Source organism: Homo sapiens, chromosome 6, assembly GCF_000001405.40.
Source record: "Homo sapiens chromosome 6, GRCh38.p14 Primary Assembly".
NCBI lineage: Eukaryota > Metazoa > Chordata > Mammalia > Primates > Hominidae > Homo > Homo sapiens.
In genome coordinates, this window is record NC_000006.12 from 165,563,720 (window position 1) to 165,586,829 (window position 23,110).

The 23,110-nt window shown below is 38.8% G+C and overlaps 1 protein-coding gene across 12 annotated transcripts in view, besides 1 other annotated feature; it reads right to left on the reverse strand.

The window, feature by feature from the left end:
- PDE10A (phosphodiesterase 10A) overlaps window positions 1-23,110 on the reverse strand; it is a 660,764-nt gene that overhangs the window by 236,431 nt on the left and 401,223 nt on the right. For 5 of the 12 annotated variants that reach the window (NM_006661.4, XM_047418099.1, XM_047418098.1 and 2 more), the window contains exon 2: window positions 12,693-12,820. The exons of the other annotated variants lie outside the window; for them this stretch is intronic. In NM_006661.4, coding sequence (NP_006652.1) covers window positions 12,693-12,729 — 37 coding nt within the window. In that variant the 5' untranslated portion in view covers window positions 12,730-12,820. The remainder of the gene's footprint in view (window positions 1-12,692; window positions 12,821-23,110) is intronic. 12 annotated transcript variants of the gene reach the window in all.
- Window positions 10,554-11,753: an enhancer, noted in NCBI's record as "P300/CBP strongly-dependent group 1 enhancer chr6:165987761-165988960 (GRCh37/hg19 assembly coordinates)". NCBI's record gives its function as "activates an origin of replication core promoter dependent on BRD2, BRD4, P300/CBP, MED14 and CDK7 cofactors, with strong dependence on P300/CBP, by STARR-seq in HCT116 cells {active_cell/tissue: HCT116}" and the evidence as "EXISTENCE:reporter gene assay evidence [ECO:0000049][PMID:35650434]".

Genomic DNA, 23,110 nt, shown 5'->3' on the forward strand with positions numbered 1-23,110 from the left:
GTCTCTACTAAAAATACAAAAATTAGCCAGACATGGTGGTGTGTACCTGTGATCCCAGCTACTTGGGAGGCTGGGACACAAGAATTGCTTGAACCCAGGAGGTGGAGGCTGCAGTTAGCTGAGATCGTGCCACTGCACTCCAGTCTGGGCGACAGAGGGAGACTGTCTCAAAAAAAAAAAAAAGGTAGCTATAATGATGATACAAATGAAAACATACATGTACCTACAGATATAAACACAAACCCATCCTCCTCAGTCAGTCACCCCCTCCACCCTCTCCCACTGATCATAGTATTCAAAGAGAATAAACTATTATTTGTGATTTCAACAAAAGAATTAAGTTAATAAAAAATTGCTGAGCCACAAAACCCTTGGCTGGAATTTCTCTTCCCCTAAAATCCTCAATTCAAATACATATCCTTTAAAATAAATATTTAGAGTCAAGATTATTAACTGGTGGATTTCCAAGGACAGGTTTCCTGAAGAGTCCAACACTGTTCCTCAAAGCAAAGCTGTTTAGAGAGTCAAGAAACATGAGAGCTGGTGCTTGCTCCTTATTAAGAAAAGATTGGGGGTTGAAGGTAGAGAGGCACCCAAGGCTCTCTAGTCCTGCTGCCCATCCTTAAGCCTACACAAATGCAAGAGGGAGAACAAGGACTGATAAGACCCGTTTTGACAATCTTGGTTAGACAACAACGAAATGTTGTTGAAAACATCTTCTTAATACAGAGATTACTAAGAAATGGTTGTTTTCAATCTTGCATTAAGCCAATTCAAACTTAATAAATGAAAATATCACCTATGGCCACCTGCCCCGGTATATTCTAAGACTACGGGGCATAGTAATAGCTACTGTAGACATGTTACTTCCTTGTCCAGTCAAGCACCCCAGTGAAGAATTCCCATAGCACATATTATACTTCTGTTTGTTTACATTTTATACAATGCCTCTCCCATTTTCTGCGAGTAAATTTCTATATTAGTTAATGCTAAGTAACTGACTTGGAGCTTGTCTGGCACCGAATACATCTTACTTTAAACATTTTATTTTCTGCTTATAAAATGGAAATAACAATAGGATGAATCAAGGTTTCTTCCTGAAAGTGAGAAGTTAACTAACTATTCCTCTCCAATATTCTTAACTAAAGAAGTGGAGCAAGAGAGTAAGTATAAATAGCTAGAATTGTGCTTATAATAAAAATCTGCCCAAAATGTGTCAAAAAGTTGGCAGAATGGATTTTTTAAAAATAACTCAACTATATGTTGTCTATAAAAGATGCAATTTAGATACAAAGACAAAAAATAGGTAATAGGCTGAAAGTGAGAGGATGGGAAAGATATTCCATTCATAAAGTAGCCAAAAGAGAGCTACAAGTCTTAGCTAATGCAATAAGACAAGAATAGAGAACTAAAGGTTTACAGTTTGGGAAGGAAGAAATAAAACTGTTCACAGATGACATGACTGTCTATATAGAAAAATTTTTTTAAAAATCAACAAAAGCTTCTTGGAACTAATAAGTGATTATATGAGATTTTCAGAATATGAGTTAAAACACAAAAATCAGTATCTTTCCTATATTCCAGGAATGAACAAGTAGATTTTGAAATTAAAGGCACAATATCATTTGCACTAGCACTCAAAAAATGAAATACTTGGGTATAAATCTAACAAAATAGATACAAACTCTATATGAGAAAAGCTACAAAACTCTGATGAAAAAAACTCAAACAACTAAATAAGTGGATACATATTCCATGTTAATGGATAGGAAGACTCAATATTGTCAAGATGTTAGTTCTACACTCAGTGCAATCAAAATAGAAATCCCAGGAAGTTATTTTGTGGTTACTGGAAAACTGATTAAAGTTTATATTGAGAGACAAAAGTCTCACAATAGCCAGCACAATATTGTAAGAGAACAACAAAGTTCGAGGACTGACAATACCCAACTTCAAGACATACAATAAGGCTACAATAATCAAAACAGTGTGGTTATTAGGGAAATAATGGATACGTGGATCAATGGAATAAAACAGAGAGCCTATAAACAGACCCAAATAAATATATAAAACTGATCTTTGACAAAGGAGCAAATGCAATACAGTAGAGAAAAAATACTCTTTTCAACAAATAGTGTCAGGAACAGCCGGACAGCCTCATGATAGAAAATGAATATAGACACACACCTCAAACCAGTCACAGAAATTAAATAAAAATGGATCATAGACTTAAATGTAAAACACAAAATGATAAAACCCCTAGAAAATAACATAGGAGAAAATATAGATGAACCTGGGCATGTCATTTACTTTTTAGAAGCAACACAAAGACAAGATCCATGAAAGAAAGAATTGATAAGTTGTACTTCAGTAAAATTAAGATTTTCTGCTCTGCAAAAGAAACTGCCAAGAGAATAAAAAGACAAGCCACAGATTGGGAGAAAATATGTGCAAAACACATATCAGATAAAGACTTAACCCAGAATAGACAAAGAACTCTAAAGCTCATTAATAAGAAAACAAACAACCTGATTATTAAAAGTCCAAAACATTAACACATACGTCATCAAAAAAGACATACAGATGAGCAAATGAAAAGATGCTCTACATTATATATCATGAGGGAAATGCAAATTCAAACAACAGTGAGATACCATTACATACCTATTTAAATGGCCAAAATCCAGAACACTGACAACACCAAATGCCAGCAAGAATGTGGAACAACAGGATCTCATTCACTGTTTGTGCGAATGTGAAATGGTACTCTGGAAGACAGTTCGGCAGCTCTGGCAAAGGTAACAGTGTGGGTCAATGTCTGGAAATGAACGCCAGAAAACATAGGACAGGAAATCTCCAAGTAACTCAATTACACTGCGGAACATGATACCAAGGAGAAGATTCTGGAGATAAAGGTGTAGATAGAGCAAAGCCAGGACAAATCACAAAGTGCCTGATAAGTCATGAGTTGCTCTGTTCTAAAGGCAACCAACAGCTGCTAAAGGGCTTTGCTTAGGCATGACAGTGACATGATCATAATCATATTTTTAAAAAGGAAACTCAACTCTAGTAAGTGAAATATGAAAAAATGAGCAAGTCCAAATCCCAATCCTTACTGTCATACACTATTAGTAAGAGTCTATATCGATACAATCACATTGAAAAATTGTTTGGCAGGAATCTACCGAAAAATCTGAACACAGGCATATTCTATGACCCAGAAATTACACCCTTAAAAGTGCATACTTAAGTCCATCAAAAGCCATATATATTATTACAATATTCAAGAAAGCACTATTTATGATAGCCAAAACATGGAAACTACCAAATATCCGTCAACATTAGAACAGATAAATCACTTAGTATATTCACACAATGGAATATCATACAATAATGAGAACAAACTATTCAGAACTGCATGGAATAATATGAGTGAAGTACACAAACATAATGTTGAACAAAAGAAACCAGACACAAAAGATAAATACTGCATGAGTCTATTTATTTAAAGTTGGAAAAATGTCACTATCTGTAAGAAGTCAGAAAAGTGTTACCTTAAGGGGTTAGCAACTGGAAGGGGACACAAGAGGGGCTTTCAGTATTATCTCTATTTTTCAATCAAGGAAGCTAAGATTCACAGGTAAAATTACTTACAACTAGTAAGTTGTGGAAATGGCATTCAAATCTATGCCTGATTTTTAAAAATACATAGCCATGGGCTAAAAATGACCTAGAGAAACTGTCAAAATGTTCTTCAACTAATGTTTATTGTCCTATGCCTTTATGCACACTGACTCCACTGCTAATAGTGCCTTTTCTTCACTGATAACTTCCCTGTAAACACCTGCTTATTACTTCTACTATGAAACCCATTCCCAATCTCTCCCCATATACTTAACAGGCTCAGTAACCAGGTATTTCGTCTCTCTCAATACTTTTTAAAAATATATATATAATTTATCGAGTACTTATTAGGTACCAGGCATTTTATTGGTCTTTTCCCAATAAGGATAATGGGGTTCGAAGATATAAATAATCCAAGGTCACATGTCTAAAATGTATTAAAACTAGAATCGAAATCAAAACTTTCTGAATGCAAATCTAAAGCTCTATTATATTATGTGTCCATCTTTCACCTTATCTTATTGCTGATAATCTATTTATCTGCTTTGACCTCAAGATTCTTATTTCTTTGGAAGCCAATAGTCTCTACTTACCTTTGTAACATCTGCCCTAAGCCAAGTGCCCAGCACACAATAGGTACGCAACAAGGCATTTTTTTTTTTTTTTTTTTTTTGAGACGGAGTCTCGCTCTGTCGCCCAGGCTGGAGTGCAGTGGCACAATCTTGGCTCACTGCAAGCTCCGCCTCCTGGGTTCACGCCATTCTCCTGCCTCAGCCTCCCGAGTAGCTGGGACTACAAGCGCCCGCCACCACGCCTGGCTAATTTTTTTGTATTTTTAGTAGAGACGGGGTTTCACCATGTTAGACACGATGGTCTAGATCTGCTGACCTCATGATCCGCCCGCCTCGGCCTCCCAAAGTGCTGGGATTACAGGCGTGAGCCACCGCATCCGGCCAGCATTTTTTTAAAGAACTAAGTATAGTATACCCACCCTCCTTATCCACGGTTTCACTTTCTGCAGTTTCAGTTAATCACACAGTCAACCACAGTCAAAAATATTAAATGGAAAATTCCAGAAGTAAACAACTCATAATTCTAAATTGTGCACTGCTCTGAGTAGCATGATAAAATCTCACATGGTACAGCTCAGTCCCAACCAGGACATGAATTCTCCCTTTGTCCAGCGTCTCCATGCTGTAGACACTTCCCATCCCTCAGACACTTTGTAGCCATCTTGCTTATCAGATCAACTGTCATGGTATCCCAGTGTCTGTGTTCAAGTCACCCTTATTTTACTTAATAACAACCCAAAAGTGCAAGAATAGTGATGCTGGCAATTCAGATATGCCACAGAGAAGCCATAAAGTAGTTCCTTTAAGTTAAAGGGTGCAAGTTCTTGATTTAATAAGGAAAGAAAAAACAAAGGTATGCTGAGCTTGCTAAGATCTGCTGTCAGAATAAATCTATCCAAGAATTTGTGAAGAAGGAAAGAGAAATTTATGCTAGTTTTGCTGTTGAAAATGTTATTGGTGAGAAAATTAAAAAGACACTATTCTGGAAAATCACAAAGTTTATACAGCTACACTTGTTCAACAGAATAGCCGTTAGTGACAAGTAGCTACTGGAGACTAGAAAACTTGCTACTCTGAAGTGGGATGTGCTGTGAGTGTAAAGTACATACTGGATTTCACAGACAACAGTACAAATGTAAGAATGTAAAATATTTCATCAAATAATTCTTTAATAATCAGAAGCTAAAATTCTAATATTCTGGAATAAATTAAGTCCATTTTATTATTAAGTTAATTTCACTTACTTTTTTAAAGTGGCTACTAGAATACTTTAACTTATGTGTGTCATCTTTACTTCACGTTATATTTCTGTTGAACAGCATTGTTGTAGGGGCCTTTTTTTCTCCTTACTCAAGGACATAATCTAAATTGTCCCTAATTGAGACTATTAAAAGCACAGTGGAAACAGCCCATGTAACTGCCATCATTTGTCCTGGGTTCCACATGAAGAAATGAATTTATTATTCTTTCTTCTTTTGCACGAGTGTTGTAAGACTGTGTCAATATTCAAAGAACATATTCCAACCTTTCCAATGTGCTTAAAAATTAACCTTGATATCACCATTGTTTAAGTGACTGCTGTGGGTCTGAATGTTTGTGTCTTCCCAAAATTCTTATGTTCAAATTTGTAGTATAATATAACTATCTCTGTTTACCTTCACAGCCTGTGACAGTCTTCCCTCCGTTCAAACTGCTTGTTTCATGTCTCTTTATAGGAAATGTTCCTCTTGTCTTGTTAAACTCATACCCTCCTCTTAAATCTACTTCAAAAATTTGTTTTTTAACCAAGGAAGAATGCTTCACAGGAAATGTTACTCCCTACTCTCATTCCGGTTTACTGTTCCCTGTGTAGGCACTATCAATAAATGTTGAAGGAAATGCAGAACTGCATAAAGCTGCATAAACCCACATATGTTCTTTGCTGTTAAGAGAAAAAGAAAAAAATTGAAAGTGCCAAAAGTGTTTGTTTTCTGGAGAGGAAAAAATTAAGCAGGAAAAACTTTCCAATGTAAACTACACAAAAATTACCTGTTTTAACCAATGGAGAGCCAAGAAAAGTTAGGACACAAACTACAATGTACATTCTTCTCTGTTATGGACTAAATTGTGTTCCTCCAAAATTCATGTGTTGAAGTCCTAACCCCCAGTACCTCAGAATGTGACTCTGTGTGGAGAAGGGACCTTTAAGAAGATGATTAAGTAAAATGAGGTCCATAGGGTGAGACCTTAATCCAATATGACTAGTACCCTAATGGCAGCCCTAGCAAACTAATGCTCTCCTTTCTGAAAAAAAGTATACTTCAAATTGTTTAAAAGGCAGAATGAATCTTTTAATAACTGGACAAATATTGTGTCAAAAATAATAAGCATACAAAAACAAAAACCATCAATCTGATCTGATATCTAAAACAAGCAAATGTAGCATTACCATGTTCCTAATGCTTAAATTTAGCTCAAGCCACTAGGAGAAACAATTATAATAAATGGACAGTCCTTGAGTAAGAATTAATACCAGGCCGACAGTGATATTTTCACATATACTTTCAAAACATACACACTTGAATTTTACAATTTACATGATTTTGCTTTGTTAATATCAAGAAAACAGCGTATTTCTTTTAAGCTGTACATTTTCAAAATCAAAACCAATCTTCTCAAACACTACTTAATTTTAAAAGAGGAAATAACTCGATTTTCTTTAATGATAAGCTGGCATCTCAACACAAAAGGGTCTGTCAGAAAATCAATGCTATATAAGACATACATCACTTTCTTAAGCATTGATGTAAAGTCTTTCTCTGGTCTTTGAAGTAGAAACTACGTCTTAATCATCTTATCCTCAGTGCTAGTAATTACAGTCGATTATTATTAGTAGCATTATGTTCTATAAAGTCCAAACACTGAATCAGCAAATACTTGACCAATGCTTGCTCCTATTGGAAATACAAGGTTAGGTTCCTACAAGCCTTTGGTGACATTTTCATCAACCAATCAATACATAACCCTACTCTGTACATGCACATGTCCACAAATGACAGTGAAAACACTGTGAGGATTGGGGTTACAAATCAATTTTAGTGAGTAAGCAAATGAGCAAATACAAAATTCAAAAATAATGAGAATCAACTGTACTTTCACACACTAAGCACTAAACAAATGTTTCAGAATCACATGAACAGATGGATAAAACCATTATCTTACTGAAGTGCTTTCATTACTTCTAGTAATTTCATTATTTTGATCCCATCTACGACACTTATATGACACTGAATCCGCCAGCTGTTTGCTAGCAGAACAGCAACCTGAGTCTTTGGGAACCACATCTGTCCTCTGCCTTGCTTACCTTGCAAAAAATTGATTTCATTATTTATTTTACTACATCTTTGCTGATAAATATGAAAATACTGGAGAAGCAAACACCATGAAATTCTGTTGGGAAACCTAGGAATTCAAGTCCTGCCAATAGACTGGAACAAGAAATTACACACCACTTAGGCATCATCAATGAGATACTCTAAACATTCCTATGCTTGAGAGTCAGTATCACTGCTATGGAAAATGTTATCTGAGTAGTCAGTATCACTGCTATGGATAATGTTATCTGAGTGAGACAGGCCAGAGTTCCTAAGACAGTTTTCTTCACATTTTGTTCTTGAAGAGATAGTTCTCTCATTTGTGACCTCAGCCACTTTCACACATTGTGATACCCTTTGGAAGCATTACACTTCACCTCTTAGGCAAACTGAGTTTGCTTTTAAAAAGAAATCCCCATTCTTAAGTGTTTAGTACCAGTTGACCTGCCTGTATTTATTTTCTCATAATCCACAGTCACGCTACACTGTTTGAAGCTGTGCTGCAAATACTTCAAAAGTTTCTATTCACTTGCTGACACTATAGCTGTTCCACTTCAGATCATTCATTACACAGCCCCCAACTTGCTATGCTGCTGTCAAACATCTTGTCCCTCCACTGTAACAGCTGCTAATTCTTTCTTAATATTTAGGAGCCAAATTGTCCCTAGTGACTAAGAAATGCTATGAGTAGAAACACAGGCATCTAAGCTGTGCACCCTACTAACATGAACTTACTGCACAGAGCAGTGAAGCACAGAAGAATTGTGTCCGCTTATCTTTACATCAGAGAAAGATTTAAATATGGCACTTCCGCTTTCTTGAAAGTTTCATGTATGTAACCTATTACCTCTAAAACTCTGATTTCCTTCCCTAATACTTAATCATTTCATGAGAGCAAGTTTAGTGCTTGAAGAAATGTGGAATTATTATTCTGGTCTCTACGGCAGCATTTAATTTAAAACATAAAATTCTAATTATCGAAGACGACTACCAAGGTACTCTTAGCTCTACCACTTACAGAATTACTGAAATACATCACTTAACATTTCTATGCCTCAATTTCCTCATTTGAAAAATGGAGATAATAATAATCTCTACACTTCATATATGAAAGTTGCTTTAAAAAACTCAGAAAATATCAGCTCTTATTACCACCTAAGTATAAAAAAATTAGTTTATACCCAGTCAACAAAACATTCATCAAAAGATACAATATGACATTGTTATAAAGTGGTTTCTGTAAAATACCTTAATCCAAAATGTCATTTTAACAATTCAGTGGCATTTCTAAATTGCTAAAACTCTTTTGCTTCCTTGGTGACAAAAATGTAAACATTAAATAGTCACTCGGCTGGGTGCCGTGGCTCACTCCTATAATCCCAGCACTTTGGGAAGCCAAGGCTGGAGGCCTGTTTGAGCCTTAGGAGTTTGAGACCAGCCTGAGCAACATGGTGAAACCCCGGAGGCTGAGGTGGGAGGATCACCTGAGCTCAGGGAGGTTGAAGCTGCAGTGAGCCACGATCGTGCCACTGCACTCCAGCGTGGGCGACAGAATGAGACCCTGTCTCAAACAAACAAACCAAAAAGCAGTCATCCTCAGCTTTACTTCCAGTATGTCTCACCATTCTGTAGAGTGCTAATTGTAATTCACAATTCTCACTGCCAACTTTGTTCAACTAGCGTTCACGTTAAAATTTCAAGTTTAGATGACAATGCAAAACTTGCTATATTTCACTAATCTGAGCTAATCTCATAATTAATGACTAAAAGTTTTATATATAATATGCTAGGCTATTTAGATTTTCAGGTCTTTCATCCTGATATAGGCACCTTGGTCTGCCCTTTTCAACAAGGCAGCCATAAAATTACAGGTTTGTAATTATCTTCATTCTTTAGGACTTCATAAGGAGCCATTAAAATAGTTAAACGACATTTTATAGAATAATGTACTGCGCAGACTTTTCACTATGATGACAATTTGGCCGTAGAGCATGTTCTGATGTCTGGGTTTTTTTTTTTTTTTTAATCAGTAGAGAGTGCGTTTGGCCTATGCATTAGTAGATTACTACTAGTCTTGAACAGTTCCATCTCATGAATCTAACATTTTTCATATTTCAGTATAAATGCCAATAAGTAATTGAGATAAACAGCTTGTTAGGCATTAAATGTTACTGAAATGACCCTAGTCTACATTTAGCTTTCCCCCTCCTCATAGATTTACTAAGACAGGGTTCATTGTCCAAATACTGGTGACAGAGTTTAAGAGCTTATATGAGACATATTGAACTATGCCTTTCATCAAATTTGCCACACTTACTTTTTCACCAAAAAATGACAAATTCAAAGCCTTATAAGTGGCAACGAACTGATCATAAAACATTATGTGTAATGAATTGAATGTATCTTTGCTAGCAAACATTATTTCTGCCAAACAATTCAGAAATAATACCAAACCATTTAAACAGACAGGAATCTGGCCTACAGTCAAGAAAAGCAATAAAAAAAAAATACCTCAATAGCTGCTTTTTCAAACAAAGAGTCTTTTCCCCTGCTCTGGCACAAAATTTGGGAAAAGAGCCAAGGTGCTACTTCTCGGCCCTCTGACATCAGGGGAAGACTGTGTGCGTCAGCCGGCCCAGTAGGGACCCCTGGCTTATGACAATGCACCATGTGCTTCTTATCTTATCAGCTTATAGTGCCTGGCACTTCGGCCATTACTGTGTGAACCCTGGAGGAAGGAAGGTGTTTGTAATTGTGAGAGTGTAGGTTAAAGTTAGGAGCGAAGCAGGTTTTAGCAACTTATTAACAAAACAAACTGTTCAACATATGGCATTAATAATAATAAAAGCCTCTGCCTTCAAACTCAAACTTAAGAGAAAGTGAGTCTTTTAAAGGGGTGTTCTAGCTGTATATGAGAACCACTTCCACTCCTACTTATGCAAATAAATGTCAAAGTTGTAGTCCAGAACAGTGACTCCATTACATTCTTTAAAAAAAAAAAAAGCAATTTGTTAGAAAATGTACGTGTGCCTCTTATATTAGCTCTACTAAAAATGGTGCTTGGGGATTGGGAATAGGTTAACTGCTTTCAAATGTTGACCAATATTTGCACCTCTAACCAACGCAGGGGACAGAGTTCCACCCACTCAGGTGAGTGGAGCTCAGTCACACCACTGGAGCCAGGATTGAGGGATTCAAAGAGAATTTGCTAAAGACAGAAACTGTCTCATAAAAACTATTTCACCTCAAAATTAATTTTCAAAAAACCTATCCTTGACTTAAAAATCATTTTAAAACAACTTTAAAATATTCAGAGAAACATCACACTTGCTACTTGAAAACTAATCTTGTCGATGTAATCAACACGTACATTCTGAATAACAAAAATAAGAGTTTTACTTACTAGTCTCGGCTCAGACTGTACATTAAAAAGCTCTTTGTTAAAAGTGAGAGTGCATTTATACCATGATTTACAACTATCTCAAACTAATACACCTCATAAACTGTCATACTGGTCATACAGCTAATAAAACAATAGATTTCTGATATTACATTATAACTGTTTATTATTCCCTCAAGCTTACCTGTTAAAACAGGATATGATTCATTTGCTCCCTGCTACTCCTCTATGTGGGTTAGAGGTCATGCCATTATAAACCATGAATAAGTAGAAAAATTATTTACTCCCTCCTGTGACAAAATTCCCCTCTCTGATGACACCATCCTATCCTTACACCTCATTCTTCCTTTCATAACTTTTGAGTCAGGTATTTGCCCTCAACTGTACACTGTGGTCACTGTTCATCTAGTTTCTCTCCCATTTGAATTAACTTTGCCTCACCTCATTATTGAGTTTAAAGACCACTGCCGATTACTGCAATAACACCTCAGCAAGCACCACAGAATTCTTTGCTTAGTCCCACCCCACACTAGGTAAACCCAATCATTCGAGTTTTGTGACCTGCATTTCTAACTGGTTAGAGAAAAATGCAGTCATGTCAATTCTTTTCTGCCTCTTAGATGGCTCCCTATACTGATCCCACAGCAGCCAGACCAAGACTGTTCCATTACTACTAAGCATCCGGACACAGCATGATCACCCTGACACGTGACCTAGCCTTTTGTTACTCAGAGGATCCTTTATTTTTCCCCTCCAATGTTTCTCTGAACCTCTACCCACTTTCTAGCTTCTCTCCTAACTCAGCTGGCTCTCTTTTTTGGTTCTTGATTCCTTCTTTTCCTTGCTCACTCAGTTATTTCCCCTTTATGTCTCATGTCTTCAAACTCTCCTTGCCCCTTTTAATGTAAAGATTTCTAAGACACTAACACTTCCACCAATCCTGAAACATGATCAACAACAACAAAACATCCTTCACACCTGGTAAACCCATCACACCTTCTATTTTTCTTTCACCATCAAAGTCAAAAGAGTAGTCCAGTGCTTATTTTAATGTCCTTAATTCTAATTCATGTGTTAATAATCACCCAATGATTTCATTCCCCATAACTGCACTAAAATCATTTTTTGGTTAAACCAACTTTCCAAATTGCTAAATATCATTATCTCAGTCTTCATCTCCCTTGGTCTCAGTAGTATCAGATATTGTTACTGGAGACTGGATATCATTCTTTGGTTAAAATCATTTTTTGGTTAAACCAACTTTCCAAATTGCTAAATATCATTATCTCAGTCTTCATCTCCCTTGGTCTCAGTAGTATCAGATATTGTTAACTAATCCGTTAGTTTCTTGGAAATTTCTCCTACATAACATGGTAAAGCAGGTCATTTAGCCAATAATAAATTTGCCTAAAGCAAATATGTAACCCACCCTATGAAAAATAAAGGGAAAAATCACCCAACTAGAACACCACAGAAATCCTCAAAAGCCATTAAAACTAACCCATCCAGTATGAAACACTGTAAACTTTTCGGTGCAATGAAACCCTGTCAATGATACTGTAGGGGGCTTGACTGAAGGTTGGCACCAAAAAGAGTCAAGGTGTGAACAAAACAAAGTTCTCATCAATTGATAATTTTAATGAATTGGCAGATCAAAACAGAGCTATAGAGTACTAGTTTGCTTCCTGTCTATCTGAATGTCCCTTCTAAATTTCTTTTGCTGGCTTCGTGTCCTCTACTCACCTGTTAAATGTTGGGATTTCCTCTCTTCTATCCTCATTCTACATTCTTTTCCTTCAAAGTCTTCTCTACCCCCATCTCTTCAACTGTAACATCTCTGTGGATGACTTCTATATCTATACCATTAGCTTCTAAACAAAAACAAAACAAAAAAATCAAATAACTAACAGATAATTCTCAGCATGGCTACACTTTAACCTACTTGAATCTTCTCCCTCTTCTCCTCCTTCACCTCCCTCTTTCATATCCCATCTCTTTAAGTGAAATCATCCTCCTCTTAAATCATCTAAACTAAATATCCCAGTCATCCTCCAATCCACCCTCTTCTTCAGTCCCTAAATGCAAATCACTGATTTCTGTCAACAGTACCTTCACAGTGTTTCTGCCTCCTTTAAACCTTCTTCATTCCCACTGCTATTACCTTTGTTCAGACAGTTAGCCATCATTTTCCCCTCTCAGGGAAGCTCACCATCTCCAGCTCAGAATAAATCCCAATTTGCTACATCAGTCATGGTAATGCTCTCCTTCCCTGAAAGTCATTAGTTTAGCTCTCACACAGAAAAGTCCACTCTTCTTCCAATGTGCATACCAGGCCTACAGCCAAAGAGCTGATCTTGCCACCATCAAAACAAAGTCCATTAGCAAAGTGGGAAGGGTAAAGAAGCAGATCCAAAGGGTGTGAGTAACTGAATCCATCAATCCTGGAGTTGCCCTTCCTAAAAGGCTCATGTTTTATGACGCCAGTTTTCCCTATTGTTTAAGTAATCTGAAGCAGGTTTCTCTTACTTGCAGCCAAAAGGTGCTCTAACTGAACAGCCCCATGCCAGCGTACAGCCTTCTCCCTCAACTTGCCTTTCTGGTTTCAGGTCTCCTGATCAATCTTTCTTCACCTACTCTACTCTCAGAAGTACTCTCCTGGGGGACGTGGAGTGATCCTTGGGCCCAAAAGTCCATGACCAGCCCATGCCCGGCTGGCATTCCAAGACCTTCCAGGGCAGCACGCAACACTCCATGCTCAAGAAACTCTGGGAAGTCTTCTAGGGCTTCAGCACAGCAGGAAACTGGGACCACGAAGCTACTGAATGGGCTATAAAGGCCCCACACCCCCAAGGGCACAGGCGACCCCCATCTCTGGGTGCCAAGCCAAGGAGCTGCCAATGGGCTTTACACCCATGGTTCTGGAGTCCACCTGAGGCACTCGTTCACCCCAGGTCCCCTCACTCTTGGAGCTCCCCACACGTGGGCCGCCTGCTATGAGTCCCTGCCTCCCAGCCACCATCCACTTCAAGACTGGACTAGAGCAGCCCTCATGCAATCAGCAGCCACAGCGAAGGTGGCACATGACGGGTGGGCACAGGCACTTCTGATGACATCATGCCCACCCTAGAAACGCCATCCGCCCGCTTCCGGCCTGGGCTTCCTAGGACGGACGGGAAACTTCCTACAGCTGGGGAGGGCCCGAGACCCGAGTCCAGCAGCTAGAGGACACAATAGAAAATACACAAAACAAGAGAAACCCAGGAAACTCTCTAAACATGGGCCCTGCCACTCCTTGCACCGGGTCACCTCTGTGCCATCTCCACAGGCGTCTGCTCGCCCTGACTAGAGACAGGAACCAGGAGTGCCCACTGGGTGAGCCACGACCTTGAGCTCAGTACAAGCAGGAAGTTCCTGCTTCATTCAATCCGAACTGACTTCAGGTAAATACAGGGGTCCCAATTGTGGGCCGAATCGTCCAGATGCTCAGGGCGGCCAGCCTCAGCCTAAGGGAAGCCCAGCATCTCTTTTAGTTCAACAGACAGCAGCTTTTCTTCTTCTTTGGATGGCTGCACTCTCAAGAGTTTTGTTTGAATTTTTTTTTTTTCCCCATGACAAATTAAGTCAAGATTTTGTAAGGGGAAACTTCTTACTCCTCCCCATGGTCCCTACCCTCCCTGCAAGAATCCAGAAGCACTGTTGACTGTTACAGATTCCCTTTTGTAAATGCTACAATGCAATGAAACAACATGGTAGGGGCAAAGTCCAATTTAACCAAAAGAACAACAGTCTGTTTCAGATTTTTATTTAAAAAATTTGATTAGTTCCTCACTGTTCCAGAATAAAGATGAAAAACAGAGTATGGAAGCACCTCCACCATCTGGCCCCAAACAACCTTCATCTCCCGCTACTCTCCCCATTCCTATGGTCCTCAAGACTTCCATAAAACCCACACCTATACCTTAACTCTTTCCTACTAAATGCATTTACCCTTTTTGGCCGCCAAACTCTTTTTCTGTTTTTTTCTTACATGGCATAATATAAAGTCCGTCTCTCCAATTTATTTCTACCCATTTCTGCCTTAGTGTCCCAACCGCCCAAAAGTCAATCATGCATCTATTGCGCCTCTGCTAAGTAATGGTAAAATGAAACCACTGCTGCTCCCCTTAAGGGAAGACCGACCACAAACAGCTACACATCAGTGGGATAAGAAGTGTCCTAACTGTACATGAGGTCTATAGGAAAAAGAAGAAAAGCAACAGACTAAGTGAGATACTAAGGTCAGAGAAGCTTCTCACAAACAAATGGACACCCACATTGAGCCTTGTAATCCACGAACAGACAAGACGGAAAGGGCATCTCAGACAGAAGGAACAGCACATACCCTCCCAAGAAGGCATGAAGGATCAACCTTTTAGGGAAGTCAAAAATTATATATGATGAAAGGCATGTGGAAGAAGTGAAGGATAGCTGCTCAGAGTAAGCAAAGGCAGTTTAAGGATACTGTATGCCATGCTAAGGACTTCAGAATTTTATTTGTAGGTGGATGGAAACATGCAAGATTTAACCTTGAGAATGATATAAGCAGATGTGGATTTTAGAATGCTCTTTACTCCCATAGAAAGAATTGATTGAAGCCAGGAATGCCCATTAGTCAGTCCCACTGCAGCAGTGCAGTTGAGAAACAGTAGCAAAATAAAACTCATAATTACATGGCAGACTGACAAGACTAGATGACCAGTTACATGCACAAGATTAGGGAGAATGACTGGGATGATACAAGTCCTCCCTGACTCTTCATTGTCTCTCACACCTCACATCCATACCATTAAGCAGTCCTGTTGTTGCAAACTTCAAAATTCATCCAAAACCTAATCATGTTTCACCTTCCCAACAGTCAACACCATCAATTCCAGCCACTATCATCCTTCACCTGGCTACTCCAATAGCTTTCTAACTGGTTAACCTGCATGCATCTATAGTCTGGTCTCAATATAGCACCCTGTCAAAACATAAACTAGATCATGTTGCTGCTCTACTAAAAACCCTCCAACATCCCCTCATCTCACACAGCGAAGGCCAAAGTCCTTACATGGCCTGTTCCTCATGACCTCTCTGACCTTGCACAAACTAGGCATACATCCACATCCTGGCCTTTTCCCTAGCTTGTGCCTCTGCCTGGAATACTGTTCTTTCCTCAGGTGTCTACATCACACCTCCTGCGAGCTATTGTTCAAAATGTCACCGTCTCAAATGAGAGCTACATGGTATTTAATATTGTTGTCTCCCAGCCCCTACTAGCCCAACTCCTGACCCTCCTCACTCTGTTCTACATCATTTTTCCTGTGGCACTCTAAACTTTCGAATATCCTACATAATTTACTTTTATTTGCTGTCCATTTATTTTACTAGAATATATGAATTCACAAGGACAGGGCTCTTCCGTTTTGTTCACTGATATATCACAAGCACTTAGAACAGTGCCTGCTCAATAGCAGGTGCTCAATACATATTTAAATTAATGAATGTTTGAATAAATGAACCCAATACTTGGGGTCAGGAGAGAGTCATGAGGAGGAATGGGTCGGGTATGTCTTCTAGAAATGAAACCTGAGCTGAGCCTTAATGAGAAGAAATTAAGTGAGCAACTAAGTGCTCTGGAATTTCCAGAGATGACAGCATGAGAAGGTAGTGATGCAAGAAGGGCATGGGACTACAAACAGTTTGATGTTGCCAGAGCTTAAATAAGAGAAAAAGAGGTAGAAATGAGGCTGGTTTTTGTCAATTAGTGAAAGGTCCTGATTATATTCCAGCTCAAGTAAGTTTACTGTGAGTTTCTGAAACATCGATCAGCCGTTAGTGAGGACAATTAGTTTTAAGGAAAAAGTAATGTGCATATATAAGGTAATGGTGATGTAGTTGAGAGATATTTTAAAAACATAACCAGCAGGACTTATTTAATGGACTGAATATGGAGAGAGTGGTGAATGAGAATAAAGATAAGTACCACCTTTCAAACTCACATATATATGGTGTAATGAGAAAGAAGATGGTAAGTGTCCTACCCAATGAGAAGACAAAGAAGATAGTAAGTCTCCTACCCAATGAGAAAGAAGATGGTAAGTCTCCCACCCAATGAGAAAGAAGACGGTAAGTCTCCTACCCAACGAGAAAGAAGATGGTAAGTCTCCTACCCGATGAGAAGAGAAAGAAGATGGTAAGTCTCCTACCCGATGAGAAAGAAGATGGTAAGTCTCCAACCCAATGAGAAAGAAGATGGTAAGTCTCCTACCCAGTGAGAAAGAAGATGGTAAGTTCAATTTTTGACTTGTTAAATTATATAATTTTTAGCACATTAAGTTAGAAAAATTGGTGATAAAAATAAATATTAATTTCCTTTTTAGATCCATTATGGTGACACCATGGAGAAAATAAGAGGTAAGAAAACCTGTCAACAGTTTCAATTCTAACTTTACCACTCATAAAAATATTCAGGTGTTAATTTAAATCTTTCCTTTCCAAAAGAATACTTTAGACCATTTAATACTAATTAGAACCTCACCATGCTTTGACAGAAGAACAGTGCTATGGACAGAATGTGTCCCCCCAAAATTCATATGTTGAAGCCTTGATCCTCAGTGCAGTGGCATTTGGAGGCAGGGTCCTTGGGAGGTAATTAGGTCATGAGAGTAGAGCCCTCACTGACAGGATTAGTGCCCTCACAAGAGCTGAGAGAGAGATTCATGCCCTTATAAGAAATGAGAAAGAGATGACTTATCTCTCAAAACATTTCTCTTGTAAGAAAGCAGCCATCTGTCAACCAGGGAGAGGGCCCTCCCCAGGAACTGCATCAGCCAGCACCATGGTCTCTGACTTCCCAGCCCCCAGAACTGTGAGAAATAAATGTTTAAAAGTCACCCAGTCTGTGGTACTTGTTGGAGCAGCCCAAATTCACTAAGGCAGATGCATAAGCATTTTGCTTAAAAGTATGATAAACAGAACAAAACAATTTCTCATCATGTGTTTCTGAGGCCTTTACAATTTGAGAATTTTGCTTTGATTATTCTGGTGGACAAAAGTGCTAAATCCTACTTGGACTGGGGATTAATATATTCTCTTTGGCACAAAGGATTTGAGTAGCCCTAAACTGATCTCATATTTAAAGCAGAGACTATGAATCAGTCAGTTGTTCTGAGAGGAACATTTGGACTAGAAGTCTAACAATGGGGTTTCTAGTTTTGATTATTTCATTTACTTGCCACCAAATGTGGTTTCAGTGATTTTCCTTATCTCTTTATCCAACTATATGCTTATTTGTATATTCAGTAACTATTTTTGAACACTAACAACATGCTATATACTAGAAATCTAAGGATGACAAGACCATGGTCCCCGCTTTTACTTAAGCAGGTAGACAATAAGAACAGTTGAAGATAAATAGCATTAGTTATGCCTGACCCACCTATTTCCCAGGGCTTTTATGAAGCTTAAACAAACTGAATTTTTTCAAAAATACACAGCTCTATACAGAAGTACAGTGCTAATATTTGAAGGCAGATATTCACCATAACAGCATATTTCTCTATGTAGGCTGTTTTGAGTAGTCACTATGGAGCTTAATGAGGTAAGTGGAAATACAGGGCCCAAAAATCAAAAGTCACAACCAATGGAAAAATAAAAACTGTACAGTGAGAGCTTCTTAAGTATGCAGAAGCAAATCATTACAAGCATATGATTTCTATGTCGATTTAATAACAGGACTGTATTTCAAATTAAGTACATTTTTCTAAGGTACAGTTGTTCACATCAAATGATCTAATTGTCAAGTCTAAATAAAATAAATCTACCTATGTTTAAATGCACAATGAAAAAACCACTGAAATTTAAATTTAAGTGGAAGACTGTTAAGAAAAAAAAAACTGAATATAAAAATTTGACTCAACTCAAAGGAAAAAAAATAACTATACACCAAAAGAAACACCATGGATTCAAGGGTCATGAGAACAAACAAAAAAAAAAACAGGTTTTACTCTTTGGGGATTTTTACTACCTTGTCTTGTTTTTTAATCAAGACAAGTATAGATGACTCTCTATTTACGAACTTTTATCTCTTGAAGTTCTTTACTTAGTTGTCCTTTTCAAATTGTTACACATTCAAAAATTAAAACAATATAAAATATATATATTGAGAAGTCTCATTCTCACCAGATTTCTCCCCAAGAAAACACACAAGTATGTTTTCCTGTGTGTCTTACCAGTATTTCTTCGTGCGGCAAATAACTCAAAACCTTTATAAATACAAACAAAACACATCCATATGTGTCAACCACCAAGTACCGGCCTCCACAGCTGCTTGTTCGATGCAAAGCTTTTCTGAGCCAGCTGCTTATGATAGCATTAGTCTGAATTTGTTGAATGCCTACTATGTGCGGGGGCAGTATACTAATCATTTTCCATTTACTAAATCATTTAATCTTCAAAATGATCCAGATAAATTATTCTTACTATCCTCATTTTACAGAAGAGGAAAGAGGATTAAGAAGTTAGGTCACTTGCCAAAGTTTACATAGCAAATGTGTACCTGAGCTATGTTTCAAAACAAATAACAAATTAGTGTGCCTAAAGATCCTCTTTAACGTATATTCTCTACCTCTTCAGTCTTACTGCTTCTCCAAAGTTTACAAGTAAAACAGTCAGATACTCCAGGAGGCCAAAAATCACTTCCCAAAAGATACCCACATCCAATCCCTGGAACCTGTAGAATGTTGCCTTATGGCAAAAGATGAGATTACAGTTAAAGATCTTGAGAGGAGGAGTTTACCCTGTATTATCCAAGTGAGCCCTAAATGATATAACTTCAAGGTATTCCACACAGCATTCCTTCTAATCAAGGAACTTACTTCACAGCAAATGAGGTATGACAGTGGACCCACGATCATGGAATTCACTGTTCAAACCATGTCCCCATATCCTGAAGCAGCTGGCTTGACAGAAAAGAAAAGGGGTATTTGAAGTCTCAGCAGCAGGTAGGTGGGATATCTTGCAGCGCTGGGGCAATGTTCTGTGGGAGATTGTATATGTCCTAAACTAGTGTCTAATGTATGATACCGTTTCTCCCATAGCCAGGATTCATGGGTCCAGGAATCAAGGGTGGGGAGGAATAGGAATGGCACCCCTTAATATTACTCCTGGTGATTTACTACTAAAATGTTCACTTCCTGTTCCCACAACCTTATGCTCTGCTCGTCCTTAGCTTCAAAGGGAGGAATGTTTCTACCAGAAGACACAATGGCTCCAATGAACTGGAAGTTGAGACTGCCACCCAGTCACTTTGGGCTCCTCAGGCCTCTGAATCAATAGGCAAAGTACTGGCTGGGGTGATTGATCCTGATTGCCAGGAGGAAATGGAGCTGCTACTATCGGGTATTCTGGCTCCAGGCCCAAATCGTCTGTGTGATCTTTCAGGTCCAATAGAGGCAGTTACAAAGTTGTGCCTGGCAGCCCTCATGGAGAAAAGCTGACCCCACCACACAACATGCTTGGTGCACAGTCAGTGCACTGCAGTTTTCTGGAAGGAGTTGCAGTTGAGGACTCAGGCTTCCCTGACCCCTGGGCCAGTCATGCTCATACACATATGTTCCTTCCTTGTCCAGGCACCTCCATTCAGCCGCCTTCTTACTGGGGGGCCTGGAGGAGGTACTTTTCTTCCCTTTGATTTGGTACTTTCCCATACCTAGCCCTTCCCCCAGCCAACAGGCCCATAAAGACGCAGGAGCCTTTTGTTTGAGACTTCCCAGCAGTGAAATGCACCCCTCATCTGAGCTGATCCACCTGACTCTCACCAGTGCCATTCTGCAGATGACAGCCAGCACCTCTGGGGAGCCAGCACCATTTTGTGTCTCTTGCTTATCCCAGCAAGTGAACAAAGCCTTAGTTATTCCTTTTTGTTTGGCCCCTTGTCCTAATCAACCACCTGGACACCTGGTTGCTTTTCGGCTACAAAAAGAAGGTTAGGAAGAACATGTCTGGAATGCAGAATACCCCTTAGGGCATCTGCATCTGCCACCATGCCCTGTGACTGAAGTCAATGGAAAACCAACAACCCCTTTCAGGCAGGACTGTTAATGACCCAGGCCCCTCAGGAATGAGGGTCTGGGTCACCCTACAGGCAAAGAACCCTGAGCAACAGGCTGTGGTGCTCCCAGAGGGCAAAGGGAATATGGAATGAGTAATGGAAGAAAGTAGCTATAAACACTATCTAGGACCAGGCAGTCAGTTTCAGAAACAAGGGCTTCAATGTTTATGAGTATTTCTTATTTTGTTATTGAGTATGTGGGTATACACATTTTTAAGCAAGAATCTTTGCATTCTTCCTGCTCTTATCCCTTATCATCTAACATAAGATGCATGAATAACATTGAACTTTACATCATGGTATTTAAGTTCCAGGAAGTTAAGGAAAACAGTGAAAACCAACCAGGAACTTTTGCATCCTCTTCTGGGGAAAGGGTTAACACATTTTTGGTTGTAAGTAAGATAGCTGCATCATGTCCTGTGGAAATATGACTTTATGGGTGTCTTTATTTGGAGATTAGTCATAGTTTAAGAAGAAGTATATGAGTGCCAAGTTTACAGGGGGTGATGGCCAGTTTTATGTGGGAACTTGACTAGTCTAATATTCCCAGCAACTCATTCAAATACAAACAAGGTGTTGCTGTGAAGGTATTTTGTAGACATGATTAGCAGTCACAGTCCATTGACTTTAAGGAAATTATCCTTGATAATCTTAGGGGGACCTACGTGCAATCACACGTATCCTTAAAAGAGGGAGGCAGAGGAATTTTTGAGAGAGAAGTGCACAGAGGAAAAGGGGATGTGAAAATAGAGGCAGAGAATAGAATGATGCTGCCACAAGCCAAGGAATGCCTGGAGCCACCAGAAGCTGGAATAGGCAGGAAAGGACTCTCCCTTCGAGCCTCTGGAGGGTGTGCAGCCCTGCCAATACCCTGATTCCAGACTTCTCTTCTCCAGAATGATGAGAGAATGCACTTCTGTTGTTTTAAGCCACAACGTTTGTGGCATTTGTTAGAGCAGCCACAGGAAACTAATATAGGTGCTTAACAATAAAACATAGTAAGAAAAGAAATTTTATCTGAGGAATGCGAGCCTGTTGTAAATTATCAGACCCACAGAGGCATGAGAGTGAGGCAGCAGTCGCATCCAACATCCCCCCCTTGCGCTAAGTAATCAGCTCTTGAAGCTGCTTGCTATGTGGACTCTTGACCAGCTGCCGCCACAAGCAGCTATCAACTAACCAAGCAAGGCCACTCACTGGACACCATACCCCATACCCCACAGTTCACCAATGTATAGTCAATCACTAATCAATCTTATTTGTCTAACCAACGGGAATTCCTGACAAACAGCAGTTATCAGCCCACTCCCTGCCCCCCTTTTGCTTTGGAAAACCTGCTTCTAACAAAGGCCGAACAGAGCTCATATCCAAGGTGACCTGGGTCTCAGTCTTCCAGATGGCTGTCCTCTCACCTTAGCTCAAGTAAACTTTTTAAAATTATATTTTGTGCCTCAACTTCCTCCTTCAGGTCAACAATATAATGAGAATCAAATAATATTATAGAGAAAGAATGAGATAGTACATGTTTCCATTAAGTTACTGCACAAGTAAAACTAGTTTTTAAAATTGAATTCTTATTCAGACACCAATAGTTAAGATGTCCTCCCTCCCACTATGCCACAAAATATGAAACCCATTACTCTTCAATATTTCCTTTCCCATTTTGCCATTTTCTTAGAGATCTGACCAGGTGGGGCAAATAGTCATGTCCCAGAAGAGAACTGATACTATATATCAAAAGGCCTAAAAGAAGAAAAGCAAACCTCTAATTAAAAATGTTAATAATATCCACAAGGGCCAAATGATAGTTTACACCCCTGAAGTTATATAGAAATAATATTCTAAATCATACTACCATATTGTAGTTTACTAAGAAAACCACAAGTAACGTCTAGAAGCCACCAAAATCCATGATTCTTAATACTTTAAGTGACTTTTCATAAGAATGTTAGTTGGCTTCAGAGGTTGAAATACCAACTCGCTTCCTTGATTTGAAATTTGGTTGGAAGCCAACATCTAGAACTCGGTA